At 38.4% G+C, this 18,272-nt stretch overlaps 1 protein-coding gene across 23 annotated transcripts in view; it reads left to right on the forward strand.

The window, feature by feature from the left end:
* Positions 1-18,272, forward strand: part of PHTF2 (putative homeodomain transcription factor 2) — a 158,732-nt gene that overhangs the window by 39,728 nt on the left and 100,732 nt on the right. For 19 of the 23 annotated variants that reach the window (XM_011516422.4, XM_011516423.4, NM_001127358.2 and 16 more), the window contains exon 2: positions 1,721-1,800. In XM_011516422.4, coding sequence (XP_011514724.1) covers positions 1,756-1,800 — 45 coding nt within the window. In that variant the 5' untranslated portion in view covers positions 1,721-1,755. Of the gene's footprint in view, positions 1-1,627; positions 1,801-16,232; positions 16,335-18,272 lie in introns of those variants that run through there. The other 4 variants (NM_001127357.2, NM_020432.5, NM_001127359.2 and 1 more) reach the window with 2 other exon arrangements.

Raw genomic sequence — 18,272 nt, forward strand, 5'->3', positions numbered from 1 at the left:
GTTCCTAGATTGGGGAATTTTTTATATGAAAATTGATGTTAAAAATAATTATAATTGAAAACCTACTGTATGTCCTGGACTGTGGCAGGCATCTTATATATATTATTTATTGGTTACAAAGATCCTATAAGGGGTGGGGAGGTACAGTTATTTCTAGTTTATAAGTGAAAGAAACAGGTTGAGAGAAATTCCGTGACTTATTCAATATTACATAATAGATAGTAGAGCTAATATTTGAATTCAGGTATTTTGACTCTAACCTTCTTTTCTTTCCATTATGTTAGGCTGTTTGTCAGGAATTTCAAAACATAGTTTGCTTGAATTTGATCAGTTAGAGTCACTAATATCTTAGGAAAGGTTATAAAATAATTTGGTTTATAACAGTCAAAAATACAGGCATTGAATAAATTCTGCTTTAAATTTTAGAGGTTTATCGTCTAAACATTTGAACTTGTTGATAATTTTTATTGTATCTGAATCTTAATATGCTCAAAAAGCATGCATGCTCCCACTCATGCATGCTCCCACTCATCATGCATGCTCCCAAGAGTGGTATATAAAACCTCCGGTACTTTGTTTACTGAGGCAAACTAGTGGTAGCGTTTCTACAGTTGCAGATCTGTATGTGCTAGGATTGGCTCAGCAGGGTGCTTTACCCCCAGGATTTCCCTGAGATCATCCTGTGTGTCCTTGGATGATTTTGGTTTGTAATGAGTTCTGCAGCCAATAACTGCTTTTGAACCTGTTTTAGGCTCATCCTTAACACTAGACCAGAGGTAACCTCTATGCCAGTGTCATCTTGTGACTAAAATAGTATTCTGGAGTTGATGGGAATCAGTCTCAAATAACCTCTAGGGTTAAGGAATCATTAAGTTTAGTACCTATCCTGTTTTAGACAAACACAGAAAAGATGCTTATGAAATGGTTTTTGGTATTTGTCTTAGTTTGATTATTTTTAAAAGAGATTTGCAGAGTTATAGAACATATCAGCAGTTTTAATCTGTTTCTTGTAAGTTACAATTCAGTAGCTTAATTTTTTTCAATAAAATAAACTTTTAGGGACTGTATTTTATAAACTGAAATATTAAAGAGTTTTTTTGATCTTTGAGGATTAATTGTCATAACTACTTAAATGACAGTTAGCAAACTGTGATATCTGGGAAGTCTTTAGTGTTAATTATTCCTGTGTATTAACTCTAATATTGGCTTAGTATTTAACATAAATACTTTTTGGCTCTTGGGTTATTTTAATTCAGTTTTGTGTTTACTGAGTGTCAGGGAAAATTAAATATCATTATAAATTCTGTCATCTCTGTTAAGCCATCCTTTAGCAATGGTAACTGACACTGGTTTTTAGAAACAAACTACATTACTGATTGAATGAATTGGTTTCTTGTATGTGGATTTTTAGATGAACAATTTCTGGTATAACCTAGGAAATTCTGAAATTTCTTTAAAAGATTAAAAAAAATTCAATCTATTTTGTAAGAAAACAAGTGTTATTTATTCATGCAAATAGAACTTTCTATTATTGTGGCAACTGATTTTTGTTTACTTAAGAGAACCTGTTGCTAAAATAGTAATGAGGAAGAGTGTAATATAAGTCTCGTCATACACCCCTTGCTCTGCAAGTAACCAGAGTGCTATGTCTGCATGCTGTTCAGTCTCCTTTTGGAAGGTGGGAAATAAAGTCATTTGTATGTTTTTCTCTCTTGCACAGCCTAAAATGACCAATGTGTGATTTCAGTGGAATAAATGGCGTCCAAAGTCACAGATGCTATAGTCTGGTATCAAAAGAAGGTAAGTTGATAGTCAAAACTTTTAGCTTTCTAAATGTTTGAATTTCAAAAATACATGTTTATTTCATGCTATAGATGTTAGGATTTTGAGTGGGAAAGGAAGATTATTTTTATTTTTCTTGTACTTATTTTACTTCTAAATAAATTGGAAAGATGATGCTTAAACATATTTTTTCTCTACTTTTTACTCTACAATAGCAAAGTAGCTAGATTAATTATAATAGAAAGCAAATCTCCAGGAGTGGATAAAATTAGCATTTTATAAAAACATTAACACTTTCCTTAGTTTAATTTTTTAAAAGAAAGATTAGCAGAGCTGTTACATAACTTATATCAATAGTTTTTAATTTGTTTCTTGTAAGTTACAATTCAATAGCTGAATGTTTCAGTAAAATAAAGTTTTGGGAACTCTATTTTACAAACTGAAATATTAAAGTGTTTATTTTGATGTTTTAGGATTGTCGTACCTACTTTAAATAGCTGTATCATCTTATATATTTCAGAATAAGCTTTACCAATGTAATGTTTTTCTTTATAAAGTCCAAAAGAATATAGGCATTTTTTGACAATACAATAAACTGTTTGCTCCTAATGAGTGTTGTTTATATTCTTTAAAATTTATGTTGTTTTGTGTAATACCTTAGATCTTTTGTGTACATAGTGGATTATATTTGTGTTCACATTTTAAAACATTTTTATACCTTATTCTTCAGGTCTCTATTAACAAAATATAATGATACATTTAAAGCTTTTCTTATATAGGAGAAAAAACAGACTTTTTTTTTTTTTTTTTTTTGAGATGGAATCTCTCTCTCTGTCACCCAGACTGGAGTGTAGTGGCGCGATCTCGGCTCACTGCAACCTCTGCCTCCTGGGTTCAAGCGATTCTCTTGTCTCAGCCTCCCAAGTAGCTGGGATTACAGGCATATGCTACCATGCCTGGCTAATTTTTGTATATTTAGTAGAGACAGGGTTTCGCCGTGTTGGTCAGGCTGATCTTGAACTCCTAACCTCAGGTGATCCGCCCGCCTCAGCCTCCCAAAGTGCTAGGATTACAGGCTTGAGCCACCGCGCCCAGCCAAACAGATGATTTTTAAGTTTTGTTCAATTGAAAATAAGTGATAATTAAAACACTTTAAAAGTTAGACAAACTAAGAATATGGCCTTTTTAAAAATATTTTTTGAGACAGGATCTCACTCTGTTGCCCAGGCTTGAGTGCAGTTGCACACTCATGGCTCACTGCAACCTTAACCTCTTGGGCTCATGTGGTCCTCCTACCTAAACCTCCCTTAGTAGATGGCATGGGATTATGGTCTGTTTTTAGATGTGTTATTTGTTTTCTGGGTAGAACATGCCATAGGTATACAATTATATTTTTCATATGAGGTACTTTATTGGAAGTATTGATATTGATATACTATTAATTGTCTTTTGTGTTTGTTAGTGCCTCCTTTTAAACTTTTAAACTTCCAATCAAGTTAAAAATCAGTCTGCTTAGCTAAAGAGCTAAAGAAAATTGTAAGTTAAGGAAAACAAAACAAAACAAACTTTAAAAATTTTCCTGTCTATATCTTTGAAAGTTTTTCTCTTTCCTAATTTCTATCTACGGGAGTAATAAACATTTTCTCTGTTTGGCTTTTTACATTAAACACTTTAGACTTTACTGAAGATCATTTATAGAACATACTTGATTGACCTTTCTTGGGATCAGAGGGTTTGAAATATTATACTCAGATTCAGTTAGCCCTGTAACTGAAGTTAGCCCTGTAATTGAAATGACCCTCTTATCCAAGGGTCATTTACCTGACAGCTTTGGATACATGCAACCAAAATATTCTCCAGAGCAACTATAGGAAATGTCATAAAATATACTAGCAAATGTAATCACATATTCTATTATATATATATTTATTTATTTTTGAGACAGGGTCTCACTCTGTTAACACAGTCTGGAGTGCTGTGGCACAATCACGGCTCACCGCAGCCTTGACCTCCTGGGTTCAAGTGAACCTCTCACCTCAGCCTCCCAAGTAGCTGGGACTACAGGCATGTGCCACTATGCCCAGCTAGATCTTGTATTTTTAGTAGAGACGGGGTTTTGCCATGTTGCCCAGGCTTATCACATAAATTAGGGAGTTGCCAGAACCATTAACTGGATTTGATTTGCTCTATTTTTTTCCTTTTGCTTTTAAATTTAATTTTATTGAAGAAATACATGTGATACTTTGAAAGATTAGTGTTTCAAGGATTATTGCAAAAAAAAAGCAGCCTGCAATACTATCCATCCCTATCCTTACCTAACCTTTGAGTTTTGCTCCCCCAGAGGCAATCATTTTAAAGTCTTTATAGCTCATTGGTTCTGAAACCAAAGTTCTCCCACTCCTCATCCTAATAACTTTTGATGGAATACTGGCATTTATGGGTGGGAGTCAGAGATACAAAATGTCGTACAACATTCTAAACTAGGATTGGATTGACTGACTTTTTCTTTAAAGGGCCAGATAGTAAATAATTTAGGTTTTGAGTCATAGGTCTCTGCTGCAACCACTCAACCTTGCCTTGCCATTGTAGCACAAAAGCAGCCATAGACACTATATAAAATTAATGAGCATGGCTGTGTTCCAGTAAAACTTAATTTACAAAAGCAGGCAAGGGTCTAGATTTGACCTGTAGGCCTTGATTTGCTGACCCACACTCTAAGACAGCCTTTGTTGAATAACACCATTTTTAAAAATGATATTTCATGTTTTGAAGCATGCCTGCCTTGTTTTTTCTTGGTCATTTTATTGTAGATGTTACTTGTTGACTTCTGACTATATGATTAGGATTTAGCTTTTTTATAAGCTTCCCCTAAGTTTCCCCCCTCTATCATCCCAGTGACTCCAAATTTTGGTAAAATCAGTATTTGGTGCTTACATTATTATGTTTGTGTATGTATCATTTAAAGATATGTTATGTTGTAATATTTCCAATCTGTGTAACTTTTTTTCCCCTTTGCTTGGTTTTACGAATTCTTTTTCTAAGTCTCTGATGAAATTGTAACACTTCTCTTATTGCAGTCAGTCATATTCAGGTTTATCTCTTCCCTTTTTCCTTTCTTGGAACTGACTCTCCTAGAATTCTCTGTTCATCTAGTCCATACTGAATAGATTGTTCTTAAGTCATGTCTCCCGGCTGCCATCTTAGTATTTTCTTTTATCATTAGCCTGAGGGTTCCCCTCACTGGCTTAGGTCACACAGATCTGTTTTTCTCTTAAATATATGCTTACTAAAAAAAATTTTTAGAGGCATTTGTACTTCAGTGAAATGAAGGCAGGAGAACTGCAGCTGTACTTACTGATTATTTAACCACAGGTGAATAACTTTATTTCTTTGAGTCTCAATTTCCACTTTTCTACATTGACTAGCTAATGGTTCTCAGCCTCTTTTCAATCATGGACCCCTTTGTGTTGAAAGCCAAGGATCATATTTTGAGAAAAATGTATACAATATACATATACAGAAAATAACACATCTGTCTTAAAACCCAGGTTAAGAAGTCCTGGATTATATGATTTTTAAAAGTTTTAATATTATAATGTTCTTTGATTTTGTGACTATCATTCAATAGTATCCAGCTTATACTGAGTAGTATCCTTGTAAATAAAAACCAAAAACATTTATCTTCATTTTCTTGAATATTTGTTTGGTTAGTAACTCACTTCTTTTTATTTTTGAGGGAGGGTCTCACTTTGTCACCCAGGCTGAAGTGCAGTGGTGTGAACACGGCTCACTGCAGCCTCGACCTCCTGGGCTCAAACGATCCTCCTGCCTCAGCCCCCCAAGTAGCTGGAACTACAGGCTCATGCCACCACACCCACCTAACTTTTGTATTTTTTTGACGGGATTTCACCATGTTTCCCAGGCTGGTCTCAAACTTCTGGCCTCAAGCGATCCTCCTGCCTTGGACTCCCGAAGTGCTGGGATTGCAGGCCTGAGCCACTGTGCCCAACCATAACTCACTTTAGAGTCACCTTTCTCCACTAGAAAATTGTGACGTTTTTATATTTATGATTTGAATACTGAATGGCCAAAAACCATCACTTGATTTGTAGACTCTTTTGAACATGAGCTCTAATATCAGATGTGAAATTTCCAGGAGAAAATGAAAACAAACTTTGAAATTATTATAAATGCGTACAGAAATTCTACTTAATTATCAAGTATTTTTGAATAAGTTATTCTTTTGTTTTGTTTTTTTGTTGAGACAGAGTTTCACTCTTTCACCCTGGCTGGAGTCAGTGGTACGATCTTGGCTCACAGCAACCTCTGCCTCTTGGGTTCAAGCAATTCTCCTGCCTCAGCCTCCCCAGTAGCTGGGATTACAGGCAGGTGCTACTACGGCCAGCTAATTTTTGTATTTTTAGTAGTGATGAGGTTTTGCTGTGTTGGCCAGGCTGGTCTCGAAATCTTGACCTCATGCGATTTGCCCACCGTAGCCTCCTAAAGTGCTGGGATTACAGGCATGAGCCATTGCACCCGGCCTAAATAAATTATTCTATGCATGGTTTATTTTGACATTTTAAAAGTCCTTTAATATCCAATTTTAAACTTCATTTTATCCTATTGTAGCCTTCATAGTTATGAATAATTTTAAAATTCCTGTTGGTCCAGAGTAATTTTCAGTTATTAACTTGGAGGAACTGTTAATGCAACAAGAATGACAACAGGGGAGAAACCAGAATAGTTTTTAGTTAATAATGAGCTGTTGAATGTGTTTTGTGGCAAAATACTCTGCTTTCATATATCTAGTTTCTCATTTCCAAGGAGAGGGAATGGAGTTACTTATCTTTTGGAAGTTATTTGAAATAGGGACCTGAAATTACATGTATTGAAAGATAATTGACACACTAAGTATTCCTTTAAACAATATAGTGACCTGTAAGATTCCACTGTGACTGTGCAGATAAAATTATGAGAGAATGAGGTTCTATTTTCACTAGGTAAATATATAAGAGAAGAGTGGCTTAGAAAAACTCCCCAAATTTAAAAGGGAAAAAAAGCACTGGCAACATTGTATAGTCATAGTAAAACAGTGAATTTAGCTTATAGGGCTGAGGAAGAACTGTATGATACAGATCTTGGTCATTGTCTTTAAGGAGTCAGTTGCCAATGAGAAAACTAATGAATATGTTTAATGGCCTTTAAATATGAGCCAGCTTTGGGATTCATTTAGTAATTTAAATGAGAAACTAGCCTGAGTAACATGAACTTGACTGGTAACTGCTATCAATTGTAAATAGTTGGGAACTTTAAATTTTCCACCTTTTTGGTAAAGTTCAGCCATGTTAATGTGTGTGTGGGCATGCACACGTGTGTGTGTGTATGTGTGTGTACTTAAGTATGTGTAGGGCATTTCAGAGTACTAACTTGCCTAAGATTGCACAGATGGCTCAAAAGTATTAAGTCTCAGCTTTCAACTCCAAAACCATGTGCAGTCATTTAATATTATCCTTCCTCCATCAGTCTCCTGGATTCTTTCGCAGGTAAGACAAATCTAACTCAAACTATCTTAAAGGGGAAATTTATTGGCTTTCAAGCTAAACCGTGCTGAGTAGTGAAGCTTTTCTCAGGGTTTACTTAATCCCAAGACCAGAGCACCATCAGATGTGTCCGTCTGCCTCTTTTTTTCCTATTGCTTTTCTAGAGTTGGCTTATTCCTTCCCATCACAGATGCCTTTCTCCATGTTGTGAGAATAAGCCCCAAGGTCCCTCCATACCCCTTCTCTTTTAGCTCCTTGAGAAGAAAGGATGTGTGGAGGACCGCCATATGGGGGTTTCCTACCCAAAATTATTCCTGACCTTTTTTCCTGGTGGAAGAGCCTCTATTTTGTTAAGGAATTCATTCCTCTCCACAGGTCTTACAGCCAAAGAATGTGTATCCGAAGTCTCAGAGGGGGTGAATCCTGATAAGTCTAACCCAATCATGGCATTCTGTTTCCCTTGCCAGTGACTGGCATAGAATGGGGCATGTATTCCAATTATGGCTAATGAGAAATGAAGCCTTCTGGGAAAAGTCTCTCACATCCTAAAAACAACCAATAATAATAATAGCAAACCTTATGTGATGCTTATTATGTGCCACTTTTTCAATGCTTTACATATATTAAATAACACAGTATAATGATATGAAATAGAGGGTTGCCTTCCTGTCTTGGGACATTGGTGGGTGAGGCACTGTTGCCTGAAATTAGTTTCCCTTCCCTTCCCTCCCCTCCCCTCCCCTCGCCTCCCCTCGCCTCCCCTCGCCTCCCCTCGCCTCCCTTCCCCTCCCTTCCCCTTCCCTCCCCTCCCCTCCCCTTCCCTTCCGTTCCCTTCTCTTCCTGCCTATCTCGCTCTGTCACTCAGGCTGTTGTGCAGTGACACAGTCATGGCTTACTGCAGTCTCCAACTCCTGGGCTTAAGCAGTCCTCTTGCTCAGCCTTCCGAGTAGCTGGGACTACAGACTTGCACTATCATGCCCAGGTAGTTTTCTTCCTTTTTTGTAGAGGCTGGGTCTTGCTCTGTTGCCCAAGTTGGTCTTGAACTCCTGGCTTCAAGTGATCCTTTTGCCTCAGCCTCCCAAAGTGTCGACATTGCAGGCATGAGCCTGCAAGCCTGAAGCTTTTATAGTGACTTAGTTCCCATGAAAGGAGCTTTCTAATAGGCTGAGGATGTCAGAAATGAAAGATGGAAAGAAAACTTGAGCTTTTTAGGACTTTATGAACCATAAAATTAATCAGTTCTGAAAGTGACCTAATTTGGGATTTCTTACTGTATGAGAGAATAAATCTCTGTATTTTTTCAGTCATTTGAAGTTGGGTTTTTTAGTTTCTTGTTTCTGAAAGCATCCTAAGTGATACACAGAAGTGCTTTCTGATGGGGTATGGCTTTCTATACAGTCCTCTTGCCTTGGCTGGTTATAGTAGTAGAGAGAAAATTAAGATCTACCAAAAAGAAGTACTGAACCATAGACAAATGCGCTTATTACATTTTCACTTTTATGTCCTTTTCTTGAATGTAATTTTAAACTACCATGCTTTATAGTATGATAAGGTTAAAAGAGCACTGTGTATAGCATCGCGACCTCTATTTGATTTTGTGACATTTACCAGCTTATGATATTGAACATGTTATTTAATTTTTCTGAGCCTTAGTTTTTTCTTTTGTAAGCTGCAGATAGTAATGCTTCCCTTGGATGAATCACACAGGTTGTGACAGAATAAGTCAACTTTAAATATGATTTTTAAATCTATGTTCATGTTTATAGGTACATAGTAGGTTTAAATATTTGTGGGGTACATGAGATATTTTGATACAAACATATAATCACATCACTGTAAATGGAGTATCCATCACTTCAAGCATTTATCATTTCTTTGTGTTCCAAACATTCTAATTATACCCTTTTAGTTATTTTAAATTGTAGAGTAAATTATTGTTGACTGTAGTCACCCTGTTATGCTATCAAGTACTGGATCTTATTCATTCTATCTAACTGTGGTTTTGCACCCATTAACCATCTCTGTTTCCCATCCCTACTACCCTTCCCAGCCTCTGGTAATGATCACTCTACTCTACATTTTCATGAGTTCAATTCTTTTAATTTTTAGCTCCCACAAATTAGTGAGAACCTGTGAAGTTTGTCTCTCTGTGCCTGGCTTATTTCACTTAATATAATGTCCTCCAGTTCCATTCATGTTGTTGCACATGTCGGGATCTCATTCTTTCTTACGACGGAATACTACTCCATTGTGTATATGTACCAATTTTCTTTATCCATTCATTCATTGATGGACACTTAGGTTGGTTCCAAATCTTGGTTATCATGAATATTGCTGCAGTGAACATGGGAGTGCAGATATCTCTTCAGTATACTAATTTCCTATTTTGGGGTATATACCTAGGAGTGGGCTTGCTGGATCATATGGTAGTTCTATTTTTAGTTTTTCAAGGAACCTCCGTACTGTTCTCCATAGTGGCTGTACTAATTTGCATTCCTGTCAACGATGTACAGGGATTCCCATTTCTCCACATCCTTGCCGGCATTTGTTGTTGCCTGTCTTCTGGAGAAAAGCCATTTTGACTGAGGTAAGATGATATCTCACTGTAGTTTTGATTTGCATTTCTCTGATGATCCATGATGTGAAGCACCTTTTCATATACCTGTTTGCCATTTGTGTGTCTTCTTTTGAGAAATGTCTATTCAGACCTTTTGCCCATTTTTAAAATGGATTATTAGATTTTTTTCCTATAGAGTTGTTTGAGCTCCTTGTATATTCTGGTTGTTAATTCATTGTCAGATGGGTAGTTTGCAAATATTTTCTATCATTCTGTAGGTTGTCTCTTTGTTGATATTTTCCTTTGCTCTGCAGAAGCTTTTTAACTTGGTGTAATTGCATTTGTCCATTTTTACTTTGGTTGCCTGTGCTTTGGTAGTATTACTCAAGAAACCTTTGCCCAGTCCATTATCTTGGAGAGTTTCCCCAATGTTTTCTTGTAGTAGTTTCATAGTTTAAAGTCTTAGATTTAAATATTTAATCAATTTTGATTTGATTTTTGTATATGATGAGAGATAGGAGTCTAGTTTCATTCTTCTGCATAGGGATATCCAGTTTTCCCAGCATCATTTATTGAAGAGACTACTTTCACCATTTGTTGAAGAGAACATCCATCGTGATGTTCTTGGTACCTTTGTTGAAAATGAGCTTACTGTAGATATATGGATTTGTTTCTGGGCTTCTATTGTGTTCCACTGATCTTCATGTCTGTTTTTATGCTAGTACCATGCTGGAGTTTTTTTTGTTTTGTTTTTGCTTTTTTGAGATGGAGTCTCCCTCTGTCGCCCAGGCTGGAATGTAGTGGCGTGATCCCGGCTTACTGCAACCTCTGCCTCCTGGGTTCAAGTGATTCTCCTGCCTCAGCCTCCAGAGTAGCTGGGATTACAGGCATGCGCCACCATGCCTGGCTAATTTATATATATATATATTTATTTATTTATTTTAGTAGAGACGGGGTTTCATCAGTTGGCCAGGCTGGTCTTGAACTGACCTCAGGTGATCACTCACCTCGGCCTCCTAAGTTGCTAGGATTACAGGCGTGAGCCACTGTGCCCAGCCACTGTGCTGTTTTTGTTATAATAGCTCTGTAGTATAATTTGAAGTCATGCAATGTGATTCCTCCAGTTTTGTTGTTTTCACTCAGAATGTCTGACTATTCTTGGTCTTTTGTGGTTCCAAATAAATTAAATTCTAGGATTATTTTTTCTATTTCTCTGAAGAATGTCATTGGCATTTTGATAGTGCTACATTGAATCTGTAGATTGCTTTGGGTAGTATGCACGTTTTAACAATATTAATTCTTTGCATCAGTGTTTTGTAGTTTTCATTGTGGAGACATTTCATTTGCATGATTAAGTTTATTCCTAGGTATCTTATTTTATCTGCAGCTATTGTAAATGGGATTACTTTCTTGATTTCTCTTTCAGATTGTTCACTGTTGGCATATAGAAATGCTACTGATTTTTTTATGTTGATTGCATTCTGCAACTTGACTGAATTTGTTCATCAGTTGTAATAGATTTTTGGTGCAGTCTTTAGGTTTTTCCAAGTAAAAGATCATATCATCTGTAAACAAGGATAATTGGACTTCTTCCTTTCCAATTTGGATACCTTGTATTTCCTTCTTGTCTGATTGCCCTAGCTAGGACTTCCATTGCCGTGTTGAATAACATTGGTGAAAGTGGGCAGTGGCTGGGCATGGTGGATCATGCCTGCAATCCCAGAACTTCGGGAGGCTGAGGTGGGAGAATTGCTTGAAGCCAGGAGTTCAATGTCAGCCTGGGGAACATGGCTCAACCCTGTCTCTACAAAATTTAAAAAAAAAAAAAAAAAATCCAGGTGTGGTGGCATGCCCCTTTATTTCTAGCTACTTGGGAAGCTGAGGTGGGAGGATCACTTGAGCCCTAGAATTGAGGCTGCAGTGAGCCATGTTTGTGCCACCACTGCACTCTAGCCTGAAAGACAAAGCAAGACCTTGTCTCAAAAAAAAAAAAAAAAAAAAAAAAAGGCACGATGGCTCACACCCTAAGGCAGGAGGGTCTCTTGAACCCAGGAGTTCAAGAGCAGCCAGGCAACATAGTGGGACCTCGTCTCTAAAAAAAATAGAGAAAAAATAAGCCAGGCATGGTGGCATACACCTGTAGTTGCAACTACTTGGGAGGTAGAGGCAGGAGAATCACTTGAGCCCAGGAGATTGAGGCTGCAGTGGGCCATGATTGTGCCACTGCACACCAACCTAGTTCACAGAGTGAGACCCTGTCTCAAAAAAAAAAAAAAAAAAAGAAAAGTGATCTGTTTTCTTCCCAGAATGTGGGGGCTTTGGGGGGAAAAAAACAAAATGGTCATCCTTGTTGTGTTTTAGATCTTTGAGGAAAGTCTTTCAGCTTTTCCCTAATCAGTTTGATACCAGCAATGCATCCATCATATATGGCTTTTATTGTGTTGAGGTATGTTCCTTCTATACCCAGTTTTTTTAGTGTTTTTATTATGAAGGGATGTTGATTGATTTTGTCCTTCATTTTGTTGATATGATGTATGACATTGATTCATTTGCATATGTTGAACCATCATGCATCCATAGATAAATCCTACTTGGTCATGATGAATGATCTTTTTAATGTGTTATTGTATTCGGTTTGCTATTGTGTTGAGGATTTTTGTCTTTATCAGGGATACTGGCCCATAGTTTTCTTTTTTTGATATGTCTTTGTCTGGTTTGGGTATCAGAGTAATACTGGCCTCATAAAATGAATTTGAAAGTATTCCCTCTTTTTCTACTTTTCAGAATAGTTTGAGAAGGATTGGTATTAGTTCTTTAAATGTTTGGTAAAGTATAGCAGTGAAGCCATTGGGTCCTGGGCTTTTCTTTGCTGGGGGACTTTTTATTACAGCTTTGATCTCATTACTTATTATTGGTCTGTTCAGATTTTGGATTTCTTCATGGTGCAGTTTTGGTAGCTTGTCTGTGTTTAGGAATTTGTCCATTTCTTCTAGGTTTTCCAATTTATTGGCATATAGTTGCTCATAGCAGTCTCTAATAATCCTTTGAATTTCTGTAGAGTCCATTATAATATGTCCGTTTTCATCTCTAATTATATTTATTTGTGTCTTCTTTTTTTCTTAGTGTGGCTAAAGGTTTGTTGATTATTTTTTCAAAAAACAAACTTATTTCATTGATCTTTTGTATTTTTTGGTTTCGATTTCATTTATTTCTGCTCTGATTTTTTTTTTTTTTTTTGGAGACAGATCTCACTGTGTTATGCAGGCTGGTCTTGAACTACTGAGCTCAAGTGATCTGGCTGCCTTGGCCTCCCAAAGTGCTGGGATTACTGCTCTGAACTTTTATTATTTATTTTCTTCTACTACTGATTCTGGGTTTGATTTGCTTTTATTTTCTAGTTATTTACGATGCACTGTTAGGTTGTTTGAGTTTTTCAACTTTTTTGATATAGGGGCTGATTGGATTAAAGAGGATTAAACTTTCCTCTTAGTACTGCTTTCACTGTATCTCATAAGTTTTAGTATGTTGTATTTCTATTTTATTTGTTTCAATAATTTTTTAAATTTTCTTCTTCATTTCTTCATTGATTCACTGGTAATTCAGGAGCATATTGTTTAATTTCCATGTGTTTGTGTAGTTTCCAAAGGTTTTTTTGTGTGTGTGTGTGAGATAGCCTTGCTTTGTTGCCCAGGCTGCAGTGCAGTGGCACAATCATAACTCACTGCAGCCTTGAATTCCTGGGCTCAAGCAATCCTCCTGCCTCAGCCTCTTGAGTAGCTGGGACCACAGGCATGTGCCACCCACCTGGCTAATTTTTTAAAGTTATTTTTGACTGGGCATGGTGGCTCCCGCCTGTATTCCCAGCACTTTCGGAGGCTGAGGCAGGCAGATCACTTGAGGTCAGGAGTTTAAGACCAGCCTGGCCAACATGGTGAAACCCCATCTCTACTAAAAATAGAAAAATTAGATTTCTTGCTTTTTATTTTTTGTGTATCTGTTGTAGGTTTTTTGATTTGAGGTTATCATGAGGCTTGTGAGTAACATCTCATAACCCATTGTTTTAAACTGATGACAACTTAATACCGATTGCAAAAACTAACAAGCAAATGCCCCTTGCTTTTTAACTTTTTGTTGTTTCTATTTATATCTTTTTATACTGTCTTTATCTTAAAAAGTTGTTGTAGTTGTTAGTTTTAATACGTTCATCTTTTAGTCTTTCTACTCAATATGTGAGTGGTTTATATATCACAAATACAGTGTTACAATATTCTGTGTTTGTCTGTGTACTTAACTATTACCAGTGTGTTTTGTACCTTCAGATGTTTCTTATTGCTTTTTAACCTCCTTTCAGATTGAAGAACTCCCTTTAGCATTTCTTGAAGGACAGATCTGGTGTTGATGAAATCTCTCACCTTTTGTTTGTCTAGGAAAGTATTTTTCCTTCATGTTTGAAAGATATTTTTCCTGGATATACTATTAAAGGATAAAAGTTTTTTTCCGTCAGCACTTTAAATATGTCATGCCACTCTCTCCTGGCCTGTAAGGTTTCCACTGAGAAGTCTGCTGCCAGATGTATTGGAGCTCCATTGCATGTTGTTTCTTTTCTTTTGCCAGTTTTAGGCTCCTTTCTTTATTCTTGACCTTCAGGAGTTTGATTATTAAATGCCTTGAGGTAGTCTTCTTTGGGTTACATCTGCTTGTTGTTCTACGACCTTCTTATACTTGAATATTGATATCTTTCTCTAGATTTGTTATTATCTCTTTGAGTAAACTTTTTACCCCAATATCTCTCTCTCTGCCTCCTTTTTAAAGTCAGTAACTCTTAGATTTGCCTTTTTGAGGGTATTTTCTAGATCTTATAGCCATGCTTCATTCTTTTTTATTCTTTTTTCTTTTGTCTCTTCTGACTGTATTTTCAAATAGTGTGCTCACTAATTCTTTTTTCTGCTTGATCAGTTCTGCTGTTGACAGACTTTGATGTTTTCTTCAGTATGTCAGTTGAATTTTTCAGCTCTGGAATTTTTTTTTTTTTGAGACAGAGTCTTGCTCTGTTGCCCAGGCTGGAGTGCAGTGGTGTGATCTCAGCTCATTGCAGCCTCTGCCTCCTTGGTTCAAGCAATTCTCGTGCCTCAGCCTCTTGAGTAGCTGGGACTACAGGTGTGCACCACCATGCCCAGCTAATTTTTTGTATTTTAGTAGAGACAGGGTTTCAACATGTTGCCCCGGCTGGTCTCAAACTTCTGAGCTCAAGCAATTCGCCTACCTCGGCCTCCCAAAGTGTTGGGATTACAGGTATGAGCCACCGTGCCTGGCCACTCAGCTCTAGATTTTTTTTTCTCTCTCTCTCTTTCTTTTTTTTAAAGTCAACCAGTATATCTTGAAGCCCCAGAATTTGATTAACATTTTAAAATTATTTCAATCTTATTGTTAAATTTTTCTAATAGGATTCCAAATTCCTTCTCTCTTTTATCTTGAATTTCATTGAGCTTCCTCAAAATAGCTATTTTGAATTATCTGTCTTCATGGTCTCATACCTTTGTTACTCGGGAATTGGTCACTGGTGCCTTATTTAGTTCATTTGGTGAGGTCATGTTTTCCTGGATGGTCTTGATGTTTGTGGGTGTTCATTGATGTTTGGACATTGAAGAGTTAGGTATTTATTGTATTCTTTGTATCCTGGGTTTGTTTGTACCTATCCTTCTTGGGAAGGATTTCCAAGTATTCAAAGGGAATTTAGTTTTGTGATCTAAATCTTTGGTCACTGCAGCCATGTCTGCATCAGGGGGCAACCCAAGCTTGGTAATGCTGTGACTCTTGCAAACTTGTGCAGGTACTGCTTTGGTTGTCTTCAGTAAGAACTGGGAAGACTCCCTGGATTGTCAGGGAGAGTCTCTTCCTTTCCTTTAGTTTTCACCAAACAAATGGAGTCTCTCTGTCTGCTGAGCTGCCTGGAGCTGGGGGAAGGGTGATGCATGCACCCCTTTGGCTACCACTACTAGGACTGTGCAGGTTAGACCTGAAGCCAATATGGCACTGTGTCTTGCCCAAGGCCTACAGCGACTACTACCTGGGCTATCAGTAACATTCACTCAAGGCCCAAGAGCTCTTCAGTCAGCAGGTAGTAAATCCAGCTAGGCTTGCGTCCTTCCCTCCAGAGCATCAAGCTCCCCTGCCCTACTCCCCGTACCCCCCAACCCCAGCCCAGGGCAGGTACAGAAATGCCATCCAGGAGCCAGAGCCTGGAGTCAGGAATCTTAGAAATCTACTCCATGCTGTATTCTGCTGCAGTTGTGTTGGCACCCAAGCCACAAGACAAAGTTTTTTGCACTCTTCTTTCTCCTTTGCTCATGTAGGAGTTTCTCTCTGTGGCCACCACCGCCCCAGGCCCACAGCAAGTACTGCCTGGCTACTGCCAGTGTTCACTCAAGGACCAAGGGCTCTTCATTCAGTGTTTGGTGAGTAATGCCAGGCCTGTTCTCTCTGTTCAGGGCAGCAGGCTTTGCTCTGGCCCATGCTGGGTCCAGAAATGCTGACCAGGACCCAAGGCCTGGAATCAAGGAACCCAGGAGCCTGCCTGGTGTTCTACCCTACTGTGGCTGAGCTGGTGCCCAAGCTGCAAGACGAAGTCCCCCTTTCTCTTCCTTAAGCAGAAGGAATCACTCTTTGTAGCCATCACAGCTGAGAATGTGCTGGGTCACACCCAAAGCCAGCAGGACCCTGGGTCTCACCCAAGACCTGCAGTGAGTACCGCCTGGGTACCACTTATGTGTATTCAAGACCCAAGGGGTCTTTAGTCAGCAGGTGATGAATCATGCCATGGCTGCGTCCTTCTCTTCAAGGCAGTGGGTTCCCTTCTGTCCCAGGGTGTCTAGAAGTGTTGTCTGAGAGCTACAGCCTCGAATGGGCACTTCAGGACTCTGCCCAGTGCCCTATTCTGTTGTGGCTCACCTGCTATCCAAGTTCCAAGACAAAGTCTTCTTAGTCCTCCTTACTCTTCACTCTCCTCTCCCCAAATGGAAGGAAGGAGTCTCTCCCAGAGCTGTGAGCTGCACTCCCTGGAGTTGGAGAAGGAGTGGTGCAAGCATTCTCTTGGCTGCCCCAGCTGCTATCTCACTGGGTTGCATGCACGCCAAGTCCACTGGCTCTGAGCCCAGCACAGTACCAGGACTTGCCTAAGAATTGCAGTCCTTGTGGCCTAGAGTGCCTTTCAAGTTTATTTAGGGCCACAGAAGGCGGTAACCTGTGGTGGTAGGGCTAGCCGGAACGCAGTTTCTGACTGCTTGGCTGGATGATACCCCTCTGCCTAGGACTGGTCTAAATGCTCCCTCCAGGGGCACCAGCTGAATTCTGCCCCATGTTGCTTTCCACTGTGACAGGGCAGCACCGAGTTCCAATGCAAAGTCTCATAATCACTACACTTTCTGTCCCCCAAGCACGTTGATATACTCTGTCCACACCACGTGGCTGCTGCTGGGAATGTGGGAGGGGTGGTGTTGACAATTCAAGACTGTCTTTCCTACCCTTTTCAGTGTGTCTTTCCTTGATAAGGGTTAAAACAAAGTACTTTGTTTACTCACCTGATTTTTGGTTTTTATAGAGGTGCTTTCTTGTGTAGTTTGTTCAATTTGGTGTTTCTTCTGGTAGCATGATTGCTAGAGGTTTGTATTTGACCATCTTGCTCCAATAACCTAAATATGATTTCTTGAAAGTTTTTTTTACCAGGTGTGATGTTGCACACCTATAGTGTGCACACCCAGCTACTTACAAAGCTGAGGCATTGATTGAGTCCAACATTTTGAGTCCAGGTTGGGCAGCATAACAAGACCCTCATCTCTAAAAAATAAAAATAAATGTTTAAGTGGTTTATAAATTGTCAATAAATATGAAGTACAGTCAGCCCTCCAGGTCTGTGGGCTCCACATCTGTGGATTCAAGCAACTGTGAATCAAAAATAAATTTTTAAAAATTTTTACTTATTTATTTATTTATTTTTAGAGACAGTGCCTTGCTCTGTCTCCCAGGCTAGAGTACAGTGGTGTGCTCATATCTCACTGTAACCTAGAACTTCTGGACTCAAATGATCCTCCCACATCAGCCTCCCAAGTAGCTGGGACTACAGGCACGCACCACCACACCCAGATCATTTTTTAATTTTTTGTAAAGATGGGGTCTTGCTATATTCCCCAGGCTGGTCTTGAACTCCTAGGCTCGAAGTCCTGGGATTACAGGTGTGAGCTACCATACCTGGCTTAAAAGTATTTTTTAAAAATGGGTGGTTTTGTTTGTACTGAGCATGTGCAGACTTTTTTTTCCTTGCCGTTATTCCCTAAACAATACAGTATAACAACTATTTACAGAACAGTTATAATGTATTAGGTATTATAAATAATCTA

The sequence above is a fragment of the Homo sapiens genome, chromosome 7 (assembly GCF_000001405.40).
Source record: "Homo sapiens chromosome 7, GRCh38.p14 Primary Assembly".
Taxonomy (NCBI): domain Eukaryota; kingdom Metazoa; phylum Chordata; class Mammalia; order Primates; family Hominidae; genus Homo; species Homo sapiens.